The 19166-nt window shown below is 51.8% G+C and overlaps 1 protein-coding gene and 1 long non-coding RNA gene across 22 annotated transcripts in view, besides 2 other annotated features; one reads left to right on the top strand and one right to left on the bottom strand.

Annotated features, from left to right (window-relative positions):
* Positions 1 to 857: 857 nt before the first annotated feature.
* The window catches only part of TTC39A (tetratricopeptide repeat domain 39A), a 57859-nt gene continuing 39550 nt past the window's right edge, over positions 858 to 19166 (bottom strand). For 18 of the 21 annotated variants that reach the window (NM_001144832.2, XM_011541048.3, XM_011541053.3 and 15 more), the window contains exons 8-18: positions 18681 to 18746; positions 16684 to 16792; positions 16106 to 16173; positions 15957 to 16016; positions 15172 to 15333; positions 9679 to 9770; positions 7991 to 8111; positions 4114 to 4225; positions 3605 to 3719; positions 2439 to 2555; positions 858 to 1880 (exon numbers count right to left, since the gene is read on the bottom strand). In NM_001144832.2, coding sequence (NP_001138304.1) covers positions 1757 to 1880; positions 2439 to 2555; positions 3605 to 3719; positions 4114 to 4225; positions 7991 to 8111; positions 9679 to 9770; positions 15172 to 15333; positions 15957 to 16016; positions 16106 to 16173; positions 16684 to 16792; positions 18681 to 18746 — 1146 coding nt within the window. In that variant the 3' untranslated portion in view covers positions 858 to 1756. Of the gene's footprint in view, positions 1881 to 2438; positions 2556 to 3604; positions 3720 to 4113; positions 4226 to 7990; positions 8112 to 9137; positions 9771 to 11390; positions 11562 to 15171; positions 15334 to 15956; positions 16017 to 16105; positions 16174 to 16683; positions 16793 to 18680; positions 18747 to 19166 lie in introns of those variants that run through there. The other 3 variants (NM_001297666.1, NM_001297667.1, NM_001297662.2) reach the window with 3 other exon arrangements.
* Positions 8106 to 14816, top strand: LOC124904177 (uncharacterized). The gene is made up of 2 exons (XR_007066082.1): positions 8106 to 9088; positions 14446 to 14816. It is a non-coding gene; the product is annotated as an uncharacterized LOC124904177 (long non-coding RNA).
* Positions 11381 to 12023: an enhancer, noted in NCBI's record as "H3K4me1 hESC enhancer chr1:51763453-51764095 (GRCh37/hg19 assembly coordinates)". NCBI's record gives its function as "activates a minimal SCP1, AML or CMV promoter by ChIP-STARR-seq in naive H9 embryonic stem cells {active_cell/tissue: H9 hESC(naive)}" and the evidence as "EXISTENCE:reporter gene assay evidence [ECO:0000049][PMID:30033119]".
* Positions 14846 to 14895: a silencer, noted in NCBI's record as "silent region_874". NCBI's record gives its function as "represses an Ori minimal core promoter by ATAC-STARR-seq in GM12878 lymphoblastoid cells {active_cell/tissue: GM12878}" and the evidence as "EXISTENCE:reporter gene assay evidence [ECO:0000049][PMID:35858748]".

The following is a 19166-nucleotide window of genomic DNA, read 5'->3' on the forward strand; positions in this document are numbered from 1 at the left end:
TCCTGCCCAAGTAGCTGGGACTACAGGCATGCGCCACCACGCCCAGCTAATTTTTTAATTTTTAGTAGAGACGAGGTTTCACCATATTGGTCAGGATGGTCTCGATCTCCTGACCTCATGATCCACCCACCTCAACCTCCCAAAGTGCTGGGATTACAGGCGTGAGCCATCGTGCCCGACCGACTGGATCTTTATATATTAACCCAGACCCTTGGCAGATACTCGTGTTTGTTAAATACAGCAATCCTAGAAGATTGGAAAGTTTAACTGGTTCTTCTCTCGTAGAAACTGCATTCATGCATTTGGGGAGTAACGTTTTCACAGATGAATATTTTTACTGTGTGCATGATTTTCCCTACGGGGAAATGGTTAGGTTGAAGTGTGCTGACATCAGAAAGTGAAGAGTAAAACCTGGTGTTGGTCATTGAACCTGAGTTCTCACTTTAACAATCCTAGAGGTTGCAAATTCAGATGCTTTTAGGGGCCAGAAAGGTAACAGAAGTGTTTAAAGTAGCCTGGACTTAGCTCTAGCTGATTGTTGCCTCATGGGAATGAGGCTCAATGTTGCCATTTTTGTTTGTTTGTTTTTAAATTACAGGCCAGGAACCAGATTCATCTGTAAAATCTCCCCATTTGTGAATGCTGGTAACTTATTCAAAAAGTTTAAAACATTGTGTGGTCTAAATAAAACATACATAGGCCGTGTGGCTTCTGATCAAGACTTTCTGCCTGGCCTAAGGATTCATGCAACACATATTTTATTGAAATACATGATGCACGATCCCTTAAGGGCATAAATTTTATCACTTAAATATCTCTTTTCTCTTAACTGAAGAATCTAACGCATACACAACAGGTCAAGAATAACAGTTTTAACAAAAATGCTGTCAGTAAGCAAATGTACCTTGGAGTGAAGTACAGAAGATTTTTATGTTTCATAAATTATTCCCAGTGGTTTCAGTTTGGCATACAGCAAAGATACAGACTGGATTCTGAGAACCTCCTCCTGCCCCCCAAATTTCCTGGCTTTGGCATAGAAAGGGCTACACAGCTCTTCCATCAAGCCCTGGCATTTTCTACTGGTAGAGATTGATTTTTCTACAGAAGAGCTCAGATTTTATCTCACTAAAAAGACGTGCTTGATTTTTAAATTGGAAATTTACAAAAGGAGTGAAATGAAGTGTGAGTAGTAAGGTAGTGGGTGTCTGTGTACATCCTCATGCCCAACCCCAGAAGCATTGAAGCCTGAGGCTTAGCCTCTCCCAGGCATTCCTCAGGTCCTCTGAAGGACCTTCCGTCACACAAGCTGAGAACTTGCTGAATTTGAAAAGCAATTTGCCCTTTGGCATCATCATATAAAGAGATTTACCTCCAGATGATAATAGGTGAAGACAAAGACTTACAGGTGGTTGATTGTTGTTGGTTTTTAAAGCCAACTGTGATCCCATCAATGTATTTCTAAGGAAAATGTAAACTGTTCATACATTCTCTTAAACATCACAGTGAAAAGCAAGTACCCGTATGTGTGATAGGGCAGGCAGAGGGCTCCACCTGCTCTGCCCTTGGCAAAGGCCCTTGGCTACACTGGTGAAAATGCCAGCTCGGCTTCTGCACGGATACACTATGTTGTGCCATCCAACTGGAGTGCCGGTGGACCCCAAAGGCAGGGCAGGGCAGGGGGAGGGGGTATTTTGAAATGTTTTCAGGAGCTCTGTCCAGCTGTCTCTGTCTTCCAGCCCGGAACTGCTGCACAAAGCTACAAGGACACTGATGAGACCATGGATCTGCTGCTGTTCTCTAGGGAAGACTTGGCTTGGAGTGTGGCTGCCTGGATTCGAAAGTGTGTCCTTGACTCCATGGAGTAATTCTTGTAGTTTTGCCTGGAATTGAGCAGCGAATCAGACACATGAGGCTGCCTGCTCCCAGAGATGCTTTTCCTCCTGTTTGAGCTGTATGAGCCCCGCGAGCCAAGGAAGGATTGTAGAGAAATTAATGTGTCCAGAGAGAGTTGAGCCCTACCCAATGGGAGAGTTAACCAGAAGGGTTTGTGGCCCCTCATCCCTGGTATCATGGCCACTGGAACCACTCCTGGTCCTCCTGGGTTCCTAAGCTTGAAGGGGTGGTTTTAGGGAATAGACCCCTACCCTGGAAGGCAGGAGGCATGGGTCCTCACACAGCCATGCAGTTGGCTTCTGATGTGACCTTGGGAACTTACTTCCTGCCTCTGGGAGTCTAACTGCGCATTTATACATTAAGAAAGAAGTCTTCCTATGACAGGCGAGAGCTGGATTCCGAGGGACACAGGTCCACCCTCTAGACTGCCAGACTGGCCTTGCTAGCAACTCCACTCACTGCTCTCTGGGCAACTCTGTCCCCAGCCAGCTCCTGAGCTGAGTTCAGAGGGAGCAAAGGACAGACTGAGGTTACCCAAGCCTTACTTGGCAGATTCCAAAAGTTTGATGGCCTCTTCGTTTCTGTCTTGCTCCATAAGCAGCAGGGCCAGCTCCAGCAGGGCGTTTGGGATCAAGTAGTGGTCATATTTAATCTTCTTTTCACTGCAGAACAGAGGACATGGCTCAGGTTCCTCCTCCTGAGCCTCTCCCAAACTGCATGTGAGGATTTCCTAACCCGAACTCCAATTTTGGGAGGTTCCCACTACCCAGCCCTAGAAAGGCTGGGATCCATAGCAAAGCCTTCCCATCCTGTACCTTGGGCTCCAGCTCCCTGACAACCTATGGCTCCTGTCATGTCCTTAGTCCACCGCCACCTAAGTCCCGACCTCCCTTTCTCCAGGTTGAATGGTTTATTAAACTGTAAAGTCTCCTGTCTCTGATCTACCCTCTCTGACCCGACCTCCATGCTGTCCTGGAGATATCCTTTTAAACCCCAAGTCCTCCTTGCCCGGTACCCTTTCTGGCTGTCTTCTTTGGGATACAATTTAGCCTTGTGAACAAAACATCCAGGCCCTTCTCATTCTATCCCTCCTTTTTCATCTTCAATCTTTTCTCTCTATGACTTCACCCAGGCAGGTAAAGACCCCATCACCGTCACCCCAGCCTCAGATGTCTTTCCTGTGTCCATGCACTGGTGCATGCTGTACTTACTCCACTTCAAACCTGTCCTCCCTTGCTTTCTCTGCCTGATGAACTTCCCACTTTCAACATCAGCCTTGGAAAGCCTTTCCTGGTATCTCCCATTAAGTTTAGGTCCCTTCTTGGGGCACCTGCTGTCCTCTCCGCTTTCCTTTAGCATGGCCCTGACGAGCCTTGGTTGGGTTGCCTACAGCTTGCCATCTGTCACATTGCCCTCCCTGAGGGCAAGGATAGAGTCACCGAATTACAAACTCCAGGGGACACTGTTCACTCAAAACAACGTGGATGGACTCCTGTAGTCAGGCAATTTGGTGGCACTGGGAGGCTAGGTCTGAATTATCTGTACAGCTCCCGGCACAAGTCCTGGCACAGAGTGGACACTGGTTTAGTACCTGTGTGGTGAGTGGGGGTTGGCTAGGGTCAGCCACTGCAGTGGGCATGAGGATGGAGAAGCCCTGAATATTCTACCCAGGAGACTCAGACCCAGAAGGAGCAGCTGCAGAGGCACTTACTTGGCAGAGATGCTCCTAAAATTCTCCTCGGCCTCCTGGACACGGCCCAGGTATTTCAGACACAGGCCTTTCAACAATTTCACCAAGCACTCGTCATCCACTGAGTACTCGTTCTCTGAAAATAGGGATGTGAGGGAAAAAGACAGACTTGTTCATTTCTGCAGCAGTTACTTATGGAGCCCCCTACTTTGTGCTAGGTCAAAGGGACACAGGTAAATCAGACACAGTCCCTGTCCTCAGCAGGGGTCACATCTAAGAAGGAAAGGCAAATACTGAGACAATGACAATACAGTGAGGTCAGCACTGAAGGAAGCCCCAAGGCTGCGGGAGCCCAGAGGCTTTGACCCTACCAGGTGGACAAGGAACAGCTGCTTGGAGGAGCTCAGTCTAGAGAGATAAAGGAGAGTTGCCAGGGTAGGGAAAGGAGGAAGGACATTTTTGGCAGAGGGAAGCTTCAGCTGTAAAGACCTGACCTAGCATGGCAGGCCCAAGGGCCTGAGGGAAGTCACCTGGGCCTTTCTCCAGCATCTCTTCAGCCTTAGTGATAATCTCAAGTATCCCATCCGTGAGTTTCGGCTGCTTCCCAATCACGGCGTAGCCGTTCCAGATGTACATCATTTCCTGAAGGCAGGGGGGCAAGTCAGTCCTAGGTTTCTTCCCTAATGGGGCCTCAGTTTTCCCATCTACAAAATGGGCAGTTCAGATCAGAGGTTCACTAAAGGACCTTCTAGCTCTAATCATCCATGACAGGTCTCAGTCAGCCTGTGAAGCTGTGGGTCTGAGGGGGTTATGGGAGCCTTATCATTGATTTCCTCCTGAGATCTCACCTTACCCCAGTGAAGATGTAAGATGGACCAATGTCCGTAATGTGCTGCTCATAGCTGCCCAAGTTTTCCAGCTATTTTCCTGCTCATGCCCTCCCTGAGTGCTATTATGTCCTTTCTCCCAACCTCTCTGGGGCCAAACACTTTCTGTCCTTTGAGGACCAGGCCATGCTCCATACACACATTTCAGGACAACAGAATTTAAGGCTATGTCACCTTCTCTTCTACTCCTAGTCTCCCAAAGCAATGGGCTAAATAATGACATTCATATTCCATTTCCTTTAGAATGAAGTTACCATCATTGAGACTCTTAAAACACATCTGATTCCTTTTATTCTTTTTCTTAGATTCTTTTTTTTTAGTTAAAAAAATTTGGGGGGGGCCAGGCACAGCGGCTCACGCCTGTAATCCCAGCACTTTGGGAGGCCGAGATGAGTGGATCACCTGAGGTCAGGAGTTCGAGACTAGCCTGGCCAACATGGTGAAACCCCATCTCTACTAAAAATACAAAAATTAGCCGGGTGTGGTGGCACACACCTATAATTCCAGCTACTCGGGAGGCTGAGACAGGAGAATCACTTGAATCCAGGAAGCGGAAGTTGCAGTGAGCCGAGATGGCACCACTGCACTCCAGCCTGGGTGACAGAGACTCCGTCTCAAAAAAAAAGTCTTGGGGCCAGGTATGGTGGCTCACACCTGTAATCCCAGCACTTTGGAAGGCTTAGGCAGGTGGATCATAATCACTTGAGCTCAGGAGTTCAAGACCAGCCTGGGCAACATGGCGAAACCCCATCTCCACCAAAAAAAAAAAAAAAAAAAAAAAAAAAATTAGCCAGGCATGGTGGTGCAAGCCTGGGGTCCCAGCTACTTGGGAGGCTTAGGTGGGAGGATCGCTGGAGCCCAAGAAATCTAGGCTGCAGTGAGCTATGATCACCCCACTGCATTCCAGCCTGGGTGACAGAGTGAGATTCTATCTCAAAAAAAAAAAAAAAATTCTTTTCACCATGTCTTTGTCAGGCTATTGGTTCCTTTTGTTTGTTTGTTTTTGCCTCGACTGCCAGGAAGCTCAGAATACTAAATTAGGCTGAATGCAGTGGCTTACGCCTGTAATTCCAGCACTTTGGGAGGCTGAGGTTAGAGGATCTCTTGAGCCCTGGAGTTCAACACCAGCTTGGGCAACACAGTGAGATATCATCTCTACAAAAAAATAAAAATAGTAGCTGAGCATGGCGGTGCACACCTGTAGTCAGGAGGCTGAAGTGAGAGGATCCTTTGAGCCCAGGAGTTTGAGGCTGTGGTGAGCTGATATCACCACTACACTCCAGCCTGCATGACAGAGTGAGACCCCACCTCTAAAATAAATATTTAAAAATAAATAAAATAAAATAATAGTACTAAACTTTCATTCATAGTAACTGTGTTTGCTTAAATGAGCATTTCCTAAACTATCAAAGAAGATAATGGATGTGAAAACACTTTGTAGCCATAAAGTTCTAGAAAGACATTATTGTTGTGGTTCTTGTTATGTTCTAGGAAGGGAATTTCAGTTTAGACCAGTATTTCTCAACTGTTCTGTGGTCCCAAGTTAGCAAATGTTTCATTCTATTTTATTTTATTTTAGAGACAGGGTCTCACTCTGTCACCCAGGCTGGAGTGCAGTGGCACTATCACAGCTCACTGTAGCCTTGACCTCCTGGGCTCAAGCGATCCTCCCACCTCAGCCTCCCAAGAAACTGGGACTACAGATGCAGGACACCATGCCCCACTAAATTTTGAATTTTTTGTAAAGATGGGGTTTCACCATGTTGGCCAGGCTGGTCTTGAACTCCTGGTCTCAAACGATCCACCTACCCTGGCCTCCCAAAGTTCTGGGATTACAGGCATGAACCACCACACCCAGCCAGCAAATGTTTCATTTTTTAAAAAAGGATTCTCCCCTTCCCCCGAAATAAATAAAAATTAGAAATGATTCTGTGGCCAAATAAGTTAGAGAAAAAACATATCTTTAAACTTCTTCTTAGATTAATATATAAAGACTCCAAGAAAGCCTATAGTATATAAACTGTGTTTAGGCCAGTCTTTCCCAAATGTATTTAATCACATAAATCATTTAATGCATAAACAGTATTTTGCAGATTACAGTTTGGGAAATTCTCCCCTAAGTTTTTGGTATAGTTGCTGCCCTTGCCCTTCCTACAATATCCTCCTGCTCCACTTGATAGTAATAGCTTTACTGTATTTTTTTTTTTTTTTTTTGAGATGGAGTTTCACTCTTGTTGCCCAGGCTGGAGTGCAATGGCACGATCTCAGCTCACTGCAACCTCCACCTTTCAGATTCAAGAGATTCTCCTGCCTCAGCCTCCCGAGTAACTGGGATTACAGGCATGCGCCACCACGCCCGGCTAATTTTGTATTTTTAGTAGAGGTGGGGTTTCTCCATGTTGATCAGGCCAGTCTCTAACTCCTGACCTCAGGTGATCTGCCTGCCTTAGCCTCCCAAAGTGCTGGGATTACAGGCGTGAGCCACCATGCCTGGCCTATGGTATATTTTAAACCATAAAATATTTTAAAACTTTAGAAATATTCAGGTTGTAAGTGCTAAATCAAACTATATAAATATTGACCGTTTCAATTTATAAAGTGTTTAACACATTTTCCTCGTTGATACTCATAACTGCTCTGTAAAATGGGAAAGGAATCTATTATTATACCCATTTTACATAAGGGGAAGAGGGAACCGACCTAAAGCTACTCAGTTAATGAACAGTACAGCCAGGACCAGAAAAAGGTCTCTCAAGCAGGCTTCCTTCTACTTTTCTGGCTCCCTTACTACTTGAATAACAAGGACTCTTAGCAAGCTGGAACTTTATCTGATGCCTACTCAAATCGTGCATAGAATTAGCATCACAACCATGGCTCAGAATATGGGCTGTGGGCCCAGACTGCTGAGTTCAAATTCTGACTCCAACTCACCAGCTGTGTGACCTGGGCAAGTTATTTGATCTTTCTACTAATCTATTAGGCCTTATTACCCCCATCTGTAAAATGGAGACACCAGCAGCGCCTACTCAGAGGGTTGATGTGAGTCTCAAATCAGGCAATAGGCAATGGGTGTGGGCAGCCTTGAATATAGCAAGTGCTCGATAACGATGTTGGCTATTATGTGAGTTCAGAGTTGAATATAACGTGAAAAGGTTGGCCGAGTGAGGGGGACCGTGAAAACAATTATAATCATTGTGACAAGACTGGAGCAGACAGGCTGGGATCACTGGCAGCCGGGTGATGCCGCTGCCTGGGCACATGGACATGGGGCTCTCTGTCCAGGAGGGTGTCCCTCTCTGCCTTTTATCTGCAGCCTGCCTGTCTCTCCACTCTCAGCCCCAATGGACCCTCTCTAAGGGGCAGGGGCTGGGCCAGACTCCCAGGTGAATTGTGAAACCCTCCCCAGGCCCCTGAGGCATGAAGGTCTTTCTCCTCATCCACCTCCCCCTGGCTGTGGCTCTCAGTGAATCCCCACAATCCTATACCCGGAGGGCAGCGCCAGTCCAGACCTCCTACCCACCAGAGCAGGCACTGGCAGCGAGATAGGGTTGGAGGAGAAGTAGCGCCGGGACTTCCGGATGGCAAACTTCTCTGTGGGTAGAGATTTCCCAGCAATCTTGAGCTTCAGGCCTGGCACAGCTCTGCGAAAGAGATGGGGAGGGTGGGAGAGGATGAAAAAGAGCAGGAGAGGGCAGAGGGTCCCCAGCCTACCCAGCTATGCTTGGCGCCTCTCTGGGCCTCAGTTTCCCCATCTGCACAATGACAGTGTTAGACTCTAAAGAGCCTTCTAGGTCTGAAATAGCCTGCGGCTATAATTTTAGAGACCCTGCCCCAAGACCTGGCCACTTCCTATGGCTGGGCAAGGGGTTCCTCCCCGCCAGCTGGCAGAGATGAGAGTGTGCCAAACACCCCTGGGCCGGCCCTGCCTCCTAGTTATCGCCTCCACTCCCAGGCTCCATTTCTGGGGAGGATCCAAGAGAAGTTTAACCCCAATTTCACAGGAGAGACCAACACTCGGAGAAAGGGTGGGACCTACCCAAGACCAAACAGCTCAAACCCTTAATTAACTCTTGCCTCGCGAGTTCTGGCCTTCTCAGCTGTTTCCAAGGGCAGAGCAAAATGCGGTATGCCACCAGGCACGCCCCCACATCTGGGGCCTCACCCACCAGCTCCATCCCACCCTCCTCCTATTTCTGCCACAGTCACCGGGTGTGGCTGTGACCTCAGGCCTGAGCCATTTAGGCTCAGGGAACAGCTGGATGTGGGTGTGAGGTCCCCCCAAACTCTTCCTTTGCTTATTCACTGTAGAACCTCTCTTGGCCTTAATTTCCTCATCTCTAAAATGGAGGTAATGACACCTGCCCTCCTAGGCTTTCTGGAAGAGTCATCTGAGAGGGGGACATGGAGTCTGCTGTAGTAGCAGACACTCTGTAAGTGATAAATGCCCTATTATTGTGACAACAGTAGCCTAGGAGGCTCATATTATACCCATTTCTGGGTCTGCAAATTGGGCTCAACCTCACCAAGACTGGAGGAAGGCTCTAAGCTCCATCCTCCACCTGCCAAGGCTGAGCTCTGCTCTAAAGACACTTCATAGGAAGCAAACACGGTGGTACAGGTAAGAATGAAAACAGCCACCACTTAGTGGGCAGCTTCTAGGCTCCTAGTTCTATGCGCCAGGCTCTTAACATTTATTATCTAGTTGATTTGCAAAACAGTGCTGCGAGGTGGAGGTTGTTGTTCCCATTTTACAGATGCTGAAGTTGTCCAAGGTGACACAGCTAAGAACAAGCAGAGGCTGGGTTTACTCTTGTTTGTTCGATTCCGACTGTCAGCTCTCTACTGTGCTTCTCTGAGTGTCTCAGGTTAACTCAGCAGAGTGAAAGACCTTCCCTCCCTGGACCTTGGAGCCACATCTGTCCTACTGTCCACATGAAAGAGACTCGGAGGAAGACGATATTAGCAAAACCATTTCTGTGAAAGAAAGCCTCTGAAGAAAGTCAAAGGGCTCCAACCACCAGCAGCAGCAGCATGGGGTGGTGATGGGAGGGGAGGACACGCAGGGGGGGCAGTCCGCGGGTGGGGGCAGGGAGCCACCCTACTCCTCCCTCCCCAGTGCCCACAGCTCAGGGTGGCCTGGCTGGTCTGTCCATAGCGGCCTACACGGTGGGAGTGGCCTACACAGTGGGAGCACGATGTGGGACCCACCGAAATAATTCCACTTCGTCGTCCCCGAACGGCTTGTGGTCCTCCTTCCCAAACATGCTGAGGTAGGCGGCCTTCATGTAAATGTAGGTGGCCTGTGCGAGACAGAGCAACAGCCAGGTGTGAGCAGCCCTCCTCCAGCCCCAGCCGGGCTGGAATCTGCAGACGGACCTCACGTGGCCCAGCACAGGAGCTCCCGTTGTCTCCAAGCCCCAGGGGAGAAATGAAGGTAAGAAGCTGAAGCAACTTGAAGACCTGAATCCAGGACAACCCATGTCAAAGCAGCCACCTTCTTCTCCACTTGAAGCAGTGGCAAGAAGAACCCATGCAACTAGTAATAGGCAGGACAGACTGGGGCTGCGGCAGAGACACAAGGACAGGGGCGCACTCGGGGCTTCCGGGAAGCAACAGCTTCACAGTGGGCCCCTGAAGGGCAATGGGGAAATTCCCTGAGGCCCCAGACAGGCCTTCCAGCCAGGAGGAAGAGGCTGAGCAAAGCCAGGAGGTGGCAGGATGTGTGTGGACTACCAATAGGAGGATGAAGCACGGGCTGTAAAAAGAAGAGGCTTGAGCCAGAAACGTGAGCAGGGCCTGGGTCGGGTCAGCTCGGGCCACCCTGGTAGAACTAACTGCCTTGCTGTGTGTGCCAGGCACACCACATCCAGCACCTCGCTTGATCCCAAAGCCAATGCCAGAAAGGAGTCCGTACCCCACCTCTGCTTCCTGGGACCCCAGAGCTACTGGGGCAGAGCCGGGAGTCAACCCCAGCACCTTGCCCACTAAATGCACAGCCAGCCCTGACAGGGAAACCGTGGCCCTGCGGGAGACCCCCTACCCCACCCAGTCCTCCCTGCACACCACGCCCCTTCCTCAGAAGTCCTGAGACAGGAGCCTGGCTCTGTGCTGCCCTCAAGTGGCCAAGCCCCGAACCACAGCTCCTGCCTCCTGGCTAAGAAAGGGTGGAAAGGAAAAGGCGCCGGACATCCGGGAGTCCTGCCTAAAGCAGGCGGAAAGCGGCCTCCACCTGGCAGCCCCACCCATGCCGGGGCCTCAGCCCGCCCTTCACAACATGAGGGAAAGCTGGTCTTCGTGGGCCACGGCGGGAAGAGTCTCCCTCCCTGAAATCTGTTCCCGGTCCCATCTTTTTTTTTTTTTGATGTGGTCTCGCTCTGTCGCCCAGGCTAAGGCTGGAGTGCTATGGCGCGATCTCGGCTCACTGCAACCTCCGCCTCCCAGGTTCAAGCGATTCTTGTTGCCTCAGCCTCCTGAATAGCTGGGACTGCAGGCATGCACCACCACGCCAGGCTAATTTTTGTATATTTTAGTAGAGACGGGGTTTCACCATGTTGGCCAGGCTGGTTTCAAACTCCTGACCTCAAGCTATCCGCCCGCCTCAGCCTCCCAAAGTGCTAGGATTACAGGCATGAGCCACTGCGTCTGGCCCCGGTCCCATCTTTAACCTCCCGGGTCACCCTTGTCCTCTCCCTTTCCCCTGCCCCTGACGTGGAGACACCAAGTCCCGGTGACTTTACCTCCCGTCTCACTCTAGGATCCTGCTGGCCTTGCCCTACGGCTCTCATTATCGGACTGCCACCATCTCCACACCGTCTCCCTGTTCCAGGCTACCCGGGATGTCTTTCTGCTGTCCTGGTACACATTGTCTCCTATCTCCCTGCTCCCACTCCTGTCCCCTGCAAGCCATTTCGCACACTGACCTTTTTAAGTCAGATCATGTCAGTTCCTTCTGGAAATCTGGTTATATTCCATCACACTCAGGAGACATCTCCTACAATTTCCTTGACACCTGCAGCACTCCAGCCACACGACGGCCTCAGGGCGGTTCCCAGGACACATCAAACACACTCCTGCCCTGCTGTGCCCTGCCCAGCTCCCTCTGCCCTAACGGCCTGCCATGTGACTGCCACGTGCTGCTCCTGCGCTCCATTCTGGTGTCCTCTGAGACAGGCTTCCCCCGACCTCCCCTTACAAAGCCCCTCCCATCACTCCCTGCATCCAGCCTCGCTTGTTCTTCACTGCACTTACTGGAACCAGACATCGTGTTATATTGCCCATCTGTGTTTCTTGTCTCCCCACTAGGACGTGAGCCTTGAGGGGGTCTTTTCCTGCTCATGCTTGTATTTCCTGCCTTAGAACAGGACCCAGCCAGCGGGGTGGCCCAGCAACTGCTGGTGGGCTTTCTAAAGCACCTATCTAAGCCACAAGCCTGCCAAGGCTCCCCCACTGCTGGATAAAGCCCAAACAGCCACTCATGTCCTCCAGGACCTGCCCTAACCTTTCTTTTTCTGGCTCATCTTCTGCCATTTCCTCCCCTACACTCCTTAAACTCTCCCCAGGCCTCTGCCTGTGCTGCTCCTCGGCCCGGGATGCCATTATCCCTTCACCAGGCTCATCTCCAAGAGTCTTCCCTCCTGCCCACAGACAGCTCACCCTCACTGCACCACCAGGGTTAGGATGGGGGCTGTGACTTAGAGTTGTGGACGCCCCAGCTCTCCAGGGATGTACAGGGGCTATGCTGGGACAAAAGAGCAGCTGTCACCCCTGATGCAAGCCCCCTGCCCTTCTGCCACACAAACTCTTCACCCTGTGGCACACAGCCCCTCTGCAGCGCCCTGGCTTCTGAGCCTTTGGTCCTGCCGCCCTCTTGGCTTGGGGTGTCCTCTCACTTCCTCCACTCTGCCTCCCTAAGTCCTTCCTCTCCAAGACCCACCTCAGAGGTCTCTCCTCAGAAGCCTTCCTGTCCTCTTTGGTTGCCTGGGCATGCCTTTAGCTCCTTGGGTTTCCCAAGCCCTGAGCACGCCACTGTCACCACCTTGTTTCTGGCCATCTCAGCCTCTAGGCTGCCAGCACTGGGGGAAACACAAAGGCCTCCACAGGGCTGACTGCAGGAGATAGGTCAGGGTGGTGAGAAAAATTACAGAAAGAAGCAAACCTTGGAAGGCTCGGAGGTTTTGCAAAAGCTTCGGGAAAGGATTTGGCTGAAGGCAGCTGAATTCTCTCAGAGTAGATAACAAGAAGTAAGGGAATTGATCTAGATAAGTTGGTTTACTTAGGCCTCGGAACCTGGCCTTTAATCATCATGCGGAGGACTGCTCTTTCTGGGGGGGCGACAATGTTAATTACCCACAAATGGAGTTTGCTTTAGGCCTTTGTCATTACATCTGTACTAAATAAATGCAAGCGTGGCAGGCTTATGGGGGCCGCTGCTGACTCTGGCAGGGGTCCCCCATCTGCTGACAGGCAAGCCTGTGTCTGCATACTCCGTTCATCCGTCGCTCAGCCAGGGTCTGCGGGTCAGACCCAGCAGCTGACCTCGGAGGATCCTGGCAGAGGGGGGCGCTGCCTGCACAGAGCAGGTGGTGCCTATGGCAATGGCCAGAGGCCCAGGCCCCAGGACTAGAAGTTGGTGGAGTCTGTGGTGGCCAAGTTCTGGAGATTAGAAATGGGTGGGGCCCCAGAACTCAGAGGGTTACAACCCCCATTTTTCACAGAAGTCCTCATGAGGAGAGTGTTGCAGAGAGAGAGGGACTGGCCACCCCAAAGCCACACAGCGGTCTGGGGACTGAGCCAGATTTCCTGACAGCTGGGAGGCCTGGCCCACCTTCTGTTCCTCTATATAGCAGCTGTGTGCCCCCACCAGGTCTCTCCTTCCCCATATGGTTAGCCCCAGCCACCCACCTCACTCTACAGGAAGGCTTCGAGAGTCACTTTCAGTTCAAAAAGGTTCCCTAAGGCCCAGAATCCCAGCACTTTAGGAGGCAGAGGTGGGAAGATTGCTTGGGCCCAGGAGTTCAAGACTAGCCTGACCAACATAGCAAGACCCTGTCTCTAAAAAAAGAAAAAAGGTTCCCTGAGGCTTTGTCCTTTTTGGGAGTAGGAGGTGATGAGGAGGGGGTGTGGGGGCCATGGGAGCTGGGCCTGAGGAAGCACCTTCAACAGCAGGGTGGGCTCAGGGCAAGCCCCGACTCCTCAGGAGGACTCTAGGAGCAAGAGAGAAGCAGAGGCCTCTGAGTCACACAGGACTGTCCTCAAATCCGGTGTCTGTCACCAACAGCCATGTGGGTGGGAAAGTCACAGTCCTCGCTTAGCATCAGTGGCCCTCATGTGCCCAATGGAGATAATAACTTCTCCTCACTGGGTGTGGTGTGGAGGACATGACAGGTGCCAGACATGTTGAGAGCTCAGTAGAAGCCTGCTCCCTTCCCCAGCCCCACCTGCCCCAGACCCAGAGAATTCCCCTTCAGCTTGGTCCCCAGGCAGGGCTACGGAAGAGACCTCCATGCAGAGGAGGGGGAGGGACCAGATGCAGATGACAGGTCTCCTAACAGGTGCCAATGTGGGTCAGTTCTAACGGCTGCCTGGAGCTTTGCAGGGAAGGTATCTAAGGTCACAGCTAGGCTCATGGCAGAGGATTGATTAGCAATGTCTGCTATGGGCAGGGGATGAAGCCATGAAGACACATGTCCTGTGTATTTACAAATAACAGATTAGACGTTTGCTGAGCTAGGTGGTTGTAAGACTCTTGGTTCCAATTTCTGCACTATCATTACTATGATGGTACAAGCTAACACTTATTTCAATACTTACCATGATAAATTTCATCTTTGGTAGGCGGGCATCTGTTTGGCTTTGTTTTGCCTGTATGGCATCTTGTTAATCCCTCCACTATTTCTGGGTGCATCATTTTCTTCTGTGGAACCACCCCTCTCCTACTCTCAGCCCATGAGGAATCTTCCCACCCCTCTGTTCCAGGCATTGGCAGGTGACAAGTCAGACCAGTGAGGCTCAAACTGTGGGACTCTGGTTGAAACCAAGGGGAGGATATGAGTAGAAGCAGCCCGTGGCCACCTTGCCTGTCACATGGAGAGAACCTTCCTGCAAAGATGCAGCAGAAACAAAGATGTCATAGGAGAGAGCACAGCCACAAATGGAAAGACCAAGCCAGACGACATCATTTGAATTCCTGGATCCAGCCCTACCTGAAGTCGGATGTGCCAAGAATGTTCAGTTATATGAGCCTTTTGTGTTTTGGACCTGCATAGTCCAATATAGTGGCCACAAGCCCTACATGGCTATTTAAATTTAACATTTAGTTAATTAAAATTAAATAAAACTGAAAACAATCAGTTTCCCAGTTGCACTAGGCACATTTCATGTGCTCATTGTGCACATGTGGCTGGTGACTACCATATTTGGGCAGTGCATAAGTAGAACATTTCTACCACAGAAACAGTTCTACTGGACAGAGGGAGCCATGTTTCTGTCCTTTGTGACTAGAAATCTCTTTGTGACACATTGTGGTTCAGAAGTTTCTCTTGTGGTCTTTAGTTCCTTCCAAGCCTGAGTCCTATTAGAATTTAAGGTTATGTTTAGATTCCAGCTGAGACATCTGTGTTCAGTTAGGGATTTGGCCCGTGGTCTGGAGGCACACAGTCAGCCCTGGTCACCCAATGCCCCTAACACGTGGCATCAGCCCACCTTGGACCAGCAGTTCTCCTTGCTGAGCAGGTCGGCGTAGAAGTAGGACATCTTCCACTGGCCCTTGTAGGTGAAGCACCACATCAGCTCCCAGTAGCACATGTGGTGGAACTGCTTCCAGTGCTGCTGGGCCTCACAGCACTCCTCGAAACGCCGGATGGCCTGCAGGCACCTTCTGGTCAGCCTGACGGGTGCCCACCCAGCCCCAACCCCTCTGCATCCTCCGAACCTCCCAACACCACAGCAGACCGGGACTCCTCCAGGGCATAGTGGTCCAGCCCTGTGCTAGGCTCAGGTGGGGCCCCAGGAGCCAGGAGATCTGGCCTCCAGTCCTGGTTTTACCTCCTAAGTCTTACATGACGTTGGGCTCAAATACAGCCCCCGCCTAGGACTCTGGTTTTTAGTAACAAAATGAAAGAGCAGGAGAGAGCTATAATGGAGGGGAGGTACCAGACTCCAGCCTAATCGTCATGCCCTAAACAGATGGGCTTTCCTAACCTCTGCCTCCCTCAAGCACCTCCCTCCACCTCCCTCCACTGCAATGCTGCAGTCCTATATCTCCCAGTCAAAATCCCAGGCACCACAAATGCCTCCTCCTCCCTTGTCTTCCCAGGCTGCTCTGCCAGAAGGGCCTCTCCTGCCCCTGCTCTCTGGTTGGTTCTCTCTTGGCCCCCCCCCCGCCCCCAGTCTATCCTGTCCCTGAGTATGTCACATGTGCCTGACTTCCTGCTGGTCTGGGAGACCCCGAGGGATCCCCAGCCCCGGCCCGGACCCCCATCACTCACTGCATCAATGTTGCCTTTAATGACTTCAATCCTCCCTGCAAAGAACAGGAAGATGGCACCCTGCAATGACACACATGTAAGTCCGTGTGGGTCCGTGGGGTCTGTGGGTGTTTGTGGGCTGGGGGTACCGGGCAGCACATGGGGCTCACCTTAGGGTACCGGTTCAGGTAGGGCTTCAAGAGCTTCTCGGCCTCCTCGATGTTGACGTTCCCAGTACCTGGAGGAGATGGTGGGGGAGACACAGAACATGTCACCACCCCTGGCTCCTGTGATCCTGCCAGCAACCCAGCAGGGGCTTCCCAGGGTCTCCCCCTCCCCCTCTGTGAAATCGAGATAATTCTCCCTGTCCCTAGGGTGACATGAGGATTAAATAAGGCAGGGCAGATATCGCCCCCAGCACTTCACAGGGCTCGATAACCAGGAGCCTGCATCCACCAAGGCTGTGCCCAGAACCATAAGGTGCTGTACACAGTGTCTTCACACCCTCTACAGGGTGGGCACAACCACCCCCATTTCACAGATGAGAAAACTGAGGCTGGAACCCAGTCACACTGTGAGGCAGTGGGCGTCAGCAGGCCAGTCCCCAGGACAGTGGATGTGGCTCTGTTTCTGGTTTCAGTACCCCTATCCCTAGCCACAGGGCATGAACAGGGTCTGTAGCCCCTCGTTCTCCTTCCCCCTTGGAGACGACCAAACCCCAGGGCCCCAGGTCCCCCTGTACACCTACCGAGCACGAAGGTGAGGAAGGTGTGGTAGCACAGCAGGAGCATGACACAGAGCACAGAGCGGAAGCTGTGCCCTGACGCTCCCTCCTCCAGCTGCAGCAGCCCATAGTCCTGAGGGGATGGGAGGGTGGGTGAGGCTCCCAGAGAGGGCAGGGGCCTGGGAGGCAGCTGGACAGCTGTGTGGGCAGTGCTGCCGGCACAGGGGCGGAAGAGCACTGGAACCCTGGGGGCCAGGTCAGCTGTGTGGCCCTGAGCAAGTGGCTGCCCCTCAGTGCCCCAGCACATTCCTGGGAGAAGGGGACACGGCTGCCAAGGCCAGGACAAAGGCTTGGCGGGTCTGAGGTGTCCCCCACCTTCTCCACAGCCCCTTCCCCAGCCTCCCTGTAGTCACGGGCTTGGCCGCCCTGCGATGGGTATTGAGGGCCCAAGGTCTGGTTGGGAGCAGGAGAGACACGGAGGTGGATGATCCCAGCCATGGGCTCAGGGCATAGGTGGGGCCTGGGAAGGCTTCCTGGGGGAGAAGCCTCCAGAGCCTGGCTGGGGAGGGGCTGGGGGCAGACCCCCCACCTTGTTTCCCTGCCTGCAGTCTCTGCCCCTCTGTCTGTCCTCCAGAGCATTCTTGTTCTTTCTAAAACACAAATCTGACCTGCCTCACTCCTGCCTCAAACCCTCCATGGCTCCCCTGCCTTCGAGATAAAGAGGAAGCCCAGGCTGGCACAGTAGGTCCCGCAACCCTCCTGGCCAGGCCACACTGCCTCACCTCTGGGTCCTCCCTTCATCCTGAAATCCTACTCATGACCCATGCGCTTTCTTAAGGAAACAAAACTGAAAGAGACCTTCACAGCCTCTAGCCAATGTTTTCCAAAGCTCGGGCAGCAGATAGCAGCTAAGATTTCAGGGGTCCATGGGCAGATGCCAGGAAACACTGAGTCACGGTGAGGGTTTTCCCTTCTGTTATCTTTCTATCCTTTGGTGGTGCCCAGGAGAAATCCCCAGTCCTTTGCTCGTGGGGTTTGAACTCTCTCACCCTAAGCCCGCTTTCTCAGAAAGAGGAAGCCTGGCTGAGCCTGGGCTACACAGTCTAGCTGGGCTTTCCAAAAGATGGCTGGGCCCTCGTGGTATTTATTTTTATGATTATGTTCTTATCATGCCAAATAATATGGAGGTTTGTGTAGAGATGTTTCCTTTAAATCAATTTCAGTAAAAGTCATGAGTCACTTTTGAGAAAAGTAATATATAAATTATAATAGAGAGGTCCGTGGGTGTGGCAAATATCAGTAAGGGCCAGTGCACGTTTGAGAAACATTTATCTGGTCCATTAACAAGGCCCTTATTTTACTAAAAAGAGGCTCAAAGAAGAGAGGGACTTGCTCAGAGTCACAGAGAAAAGGGGATGAGGCTGGACTGACCCAGAGCTCCTAACTTCCAGGCCAGTGCTCCTTCTACCACACTAGGCCTCCTCCACCAGAAAGCCCTCCCTGATCTGCTGCCTTCAACCTGGGGTTGGTACTCAGGTTCTTGCCCTCAGTAAAGTCTTTGGGTGCTTGAGTTCTCTGGTTCCTCCTCAAGGTCTGATGCCCAGTAGGGCTTCCCTCAGGCATCTGCTGGATGAAGTGGTAGCACCAGAAAATGGTCCTTGGGGGAAGGACTTACTCAAAGTCTTAAAGTGAGGCAGTATCTAGGGAGAGAGGGACCAGCCCCTGACACCTGTCAGGCTCAGAGAATGTGTGATCCTGGGCCACTGATGGAGCTGCCCTTCACACCCACACCCACCCAGAGCCTCTGCACCCTGGGAGGGCCAGGCAGGGATCACTAGCCCCATTTGTCCAGAGAGAAGACTGAGGCCCAGGGAGGTCTGGGCATTGTCCAGGGCCATACAATGAGAGGGGCTGAGCCAGGATGGGCTCCTAGGCCCTGTGGCCTGTCAGCCCCACCCTGTGCAGCCCAGCCCCAGTTCTGGGGCTGAGCAGGTCAGGGGTGCTAGGAGGCAGGTGGTTACCTTGTTTCCTGAAAACCCCACAAACTCCAACAGCCTCAGGATCCTAGTAGGAAGCATGGACAGTGTCTGCAAGAAAGGAGGCAATCAAGCCTGTGAAGGTACCCAGAGTGGGCAGGGGCCACCCCCACTGTCCCAAGTCTAGCTCTTTAACAGGCTTTACCTGGAGGGGAGAGGGCCACCCCTCTAACTTTGAAAGCCTCTAGCCAATGTTTTCCAAAGCTCGGGCAGTAGATGGCAGCTAAGATATCAGGGGTCCATGGGCAGGTGCCAGGAAGCCTAGCCAGGAAACCCCTGGCCACCTAGGTTCCTGAGGCTAAATCTTCCCTGGGAAGCTCCTCCTCCCTTGATCAGGCAGTTTTCCCAGCCTTCCTGCTCCCTCTGCCTGGAAGCCCCTCCCCAGCTGGGAAACTCCTAGGGATCCTTCAGGAGCCAGCACAGATGCTCACCCCCTCCCGTAGGAAACCTTCCCCCACTCCATGCAGGAAC

Source organism: Homo sapiens, chromosome 1 (genome assembly GCF_000001405.40).
Source record: "Homo sapiens chromosome 1, GRCh38.p14 Primary Assembly".
NCBI classification, from domain to species: domain Eukaryota; kingdom Metazoa; phylum Chordata; class Mammalia; order Primates; family Hominidae; genus Homo; species Homo sapiens.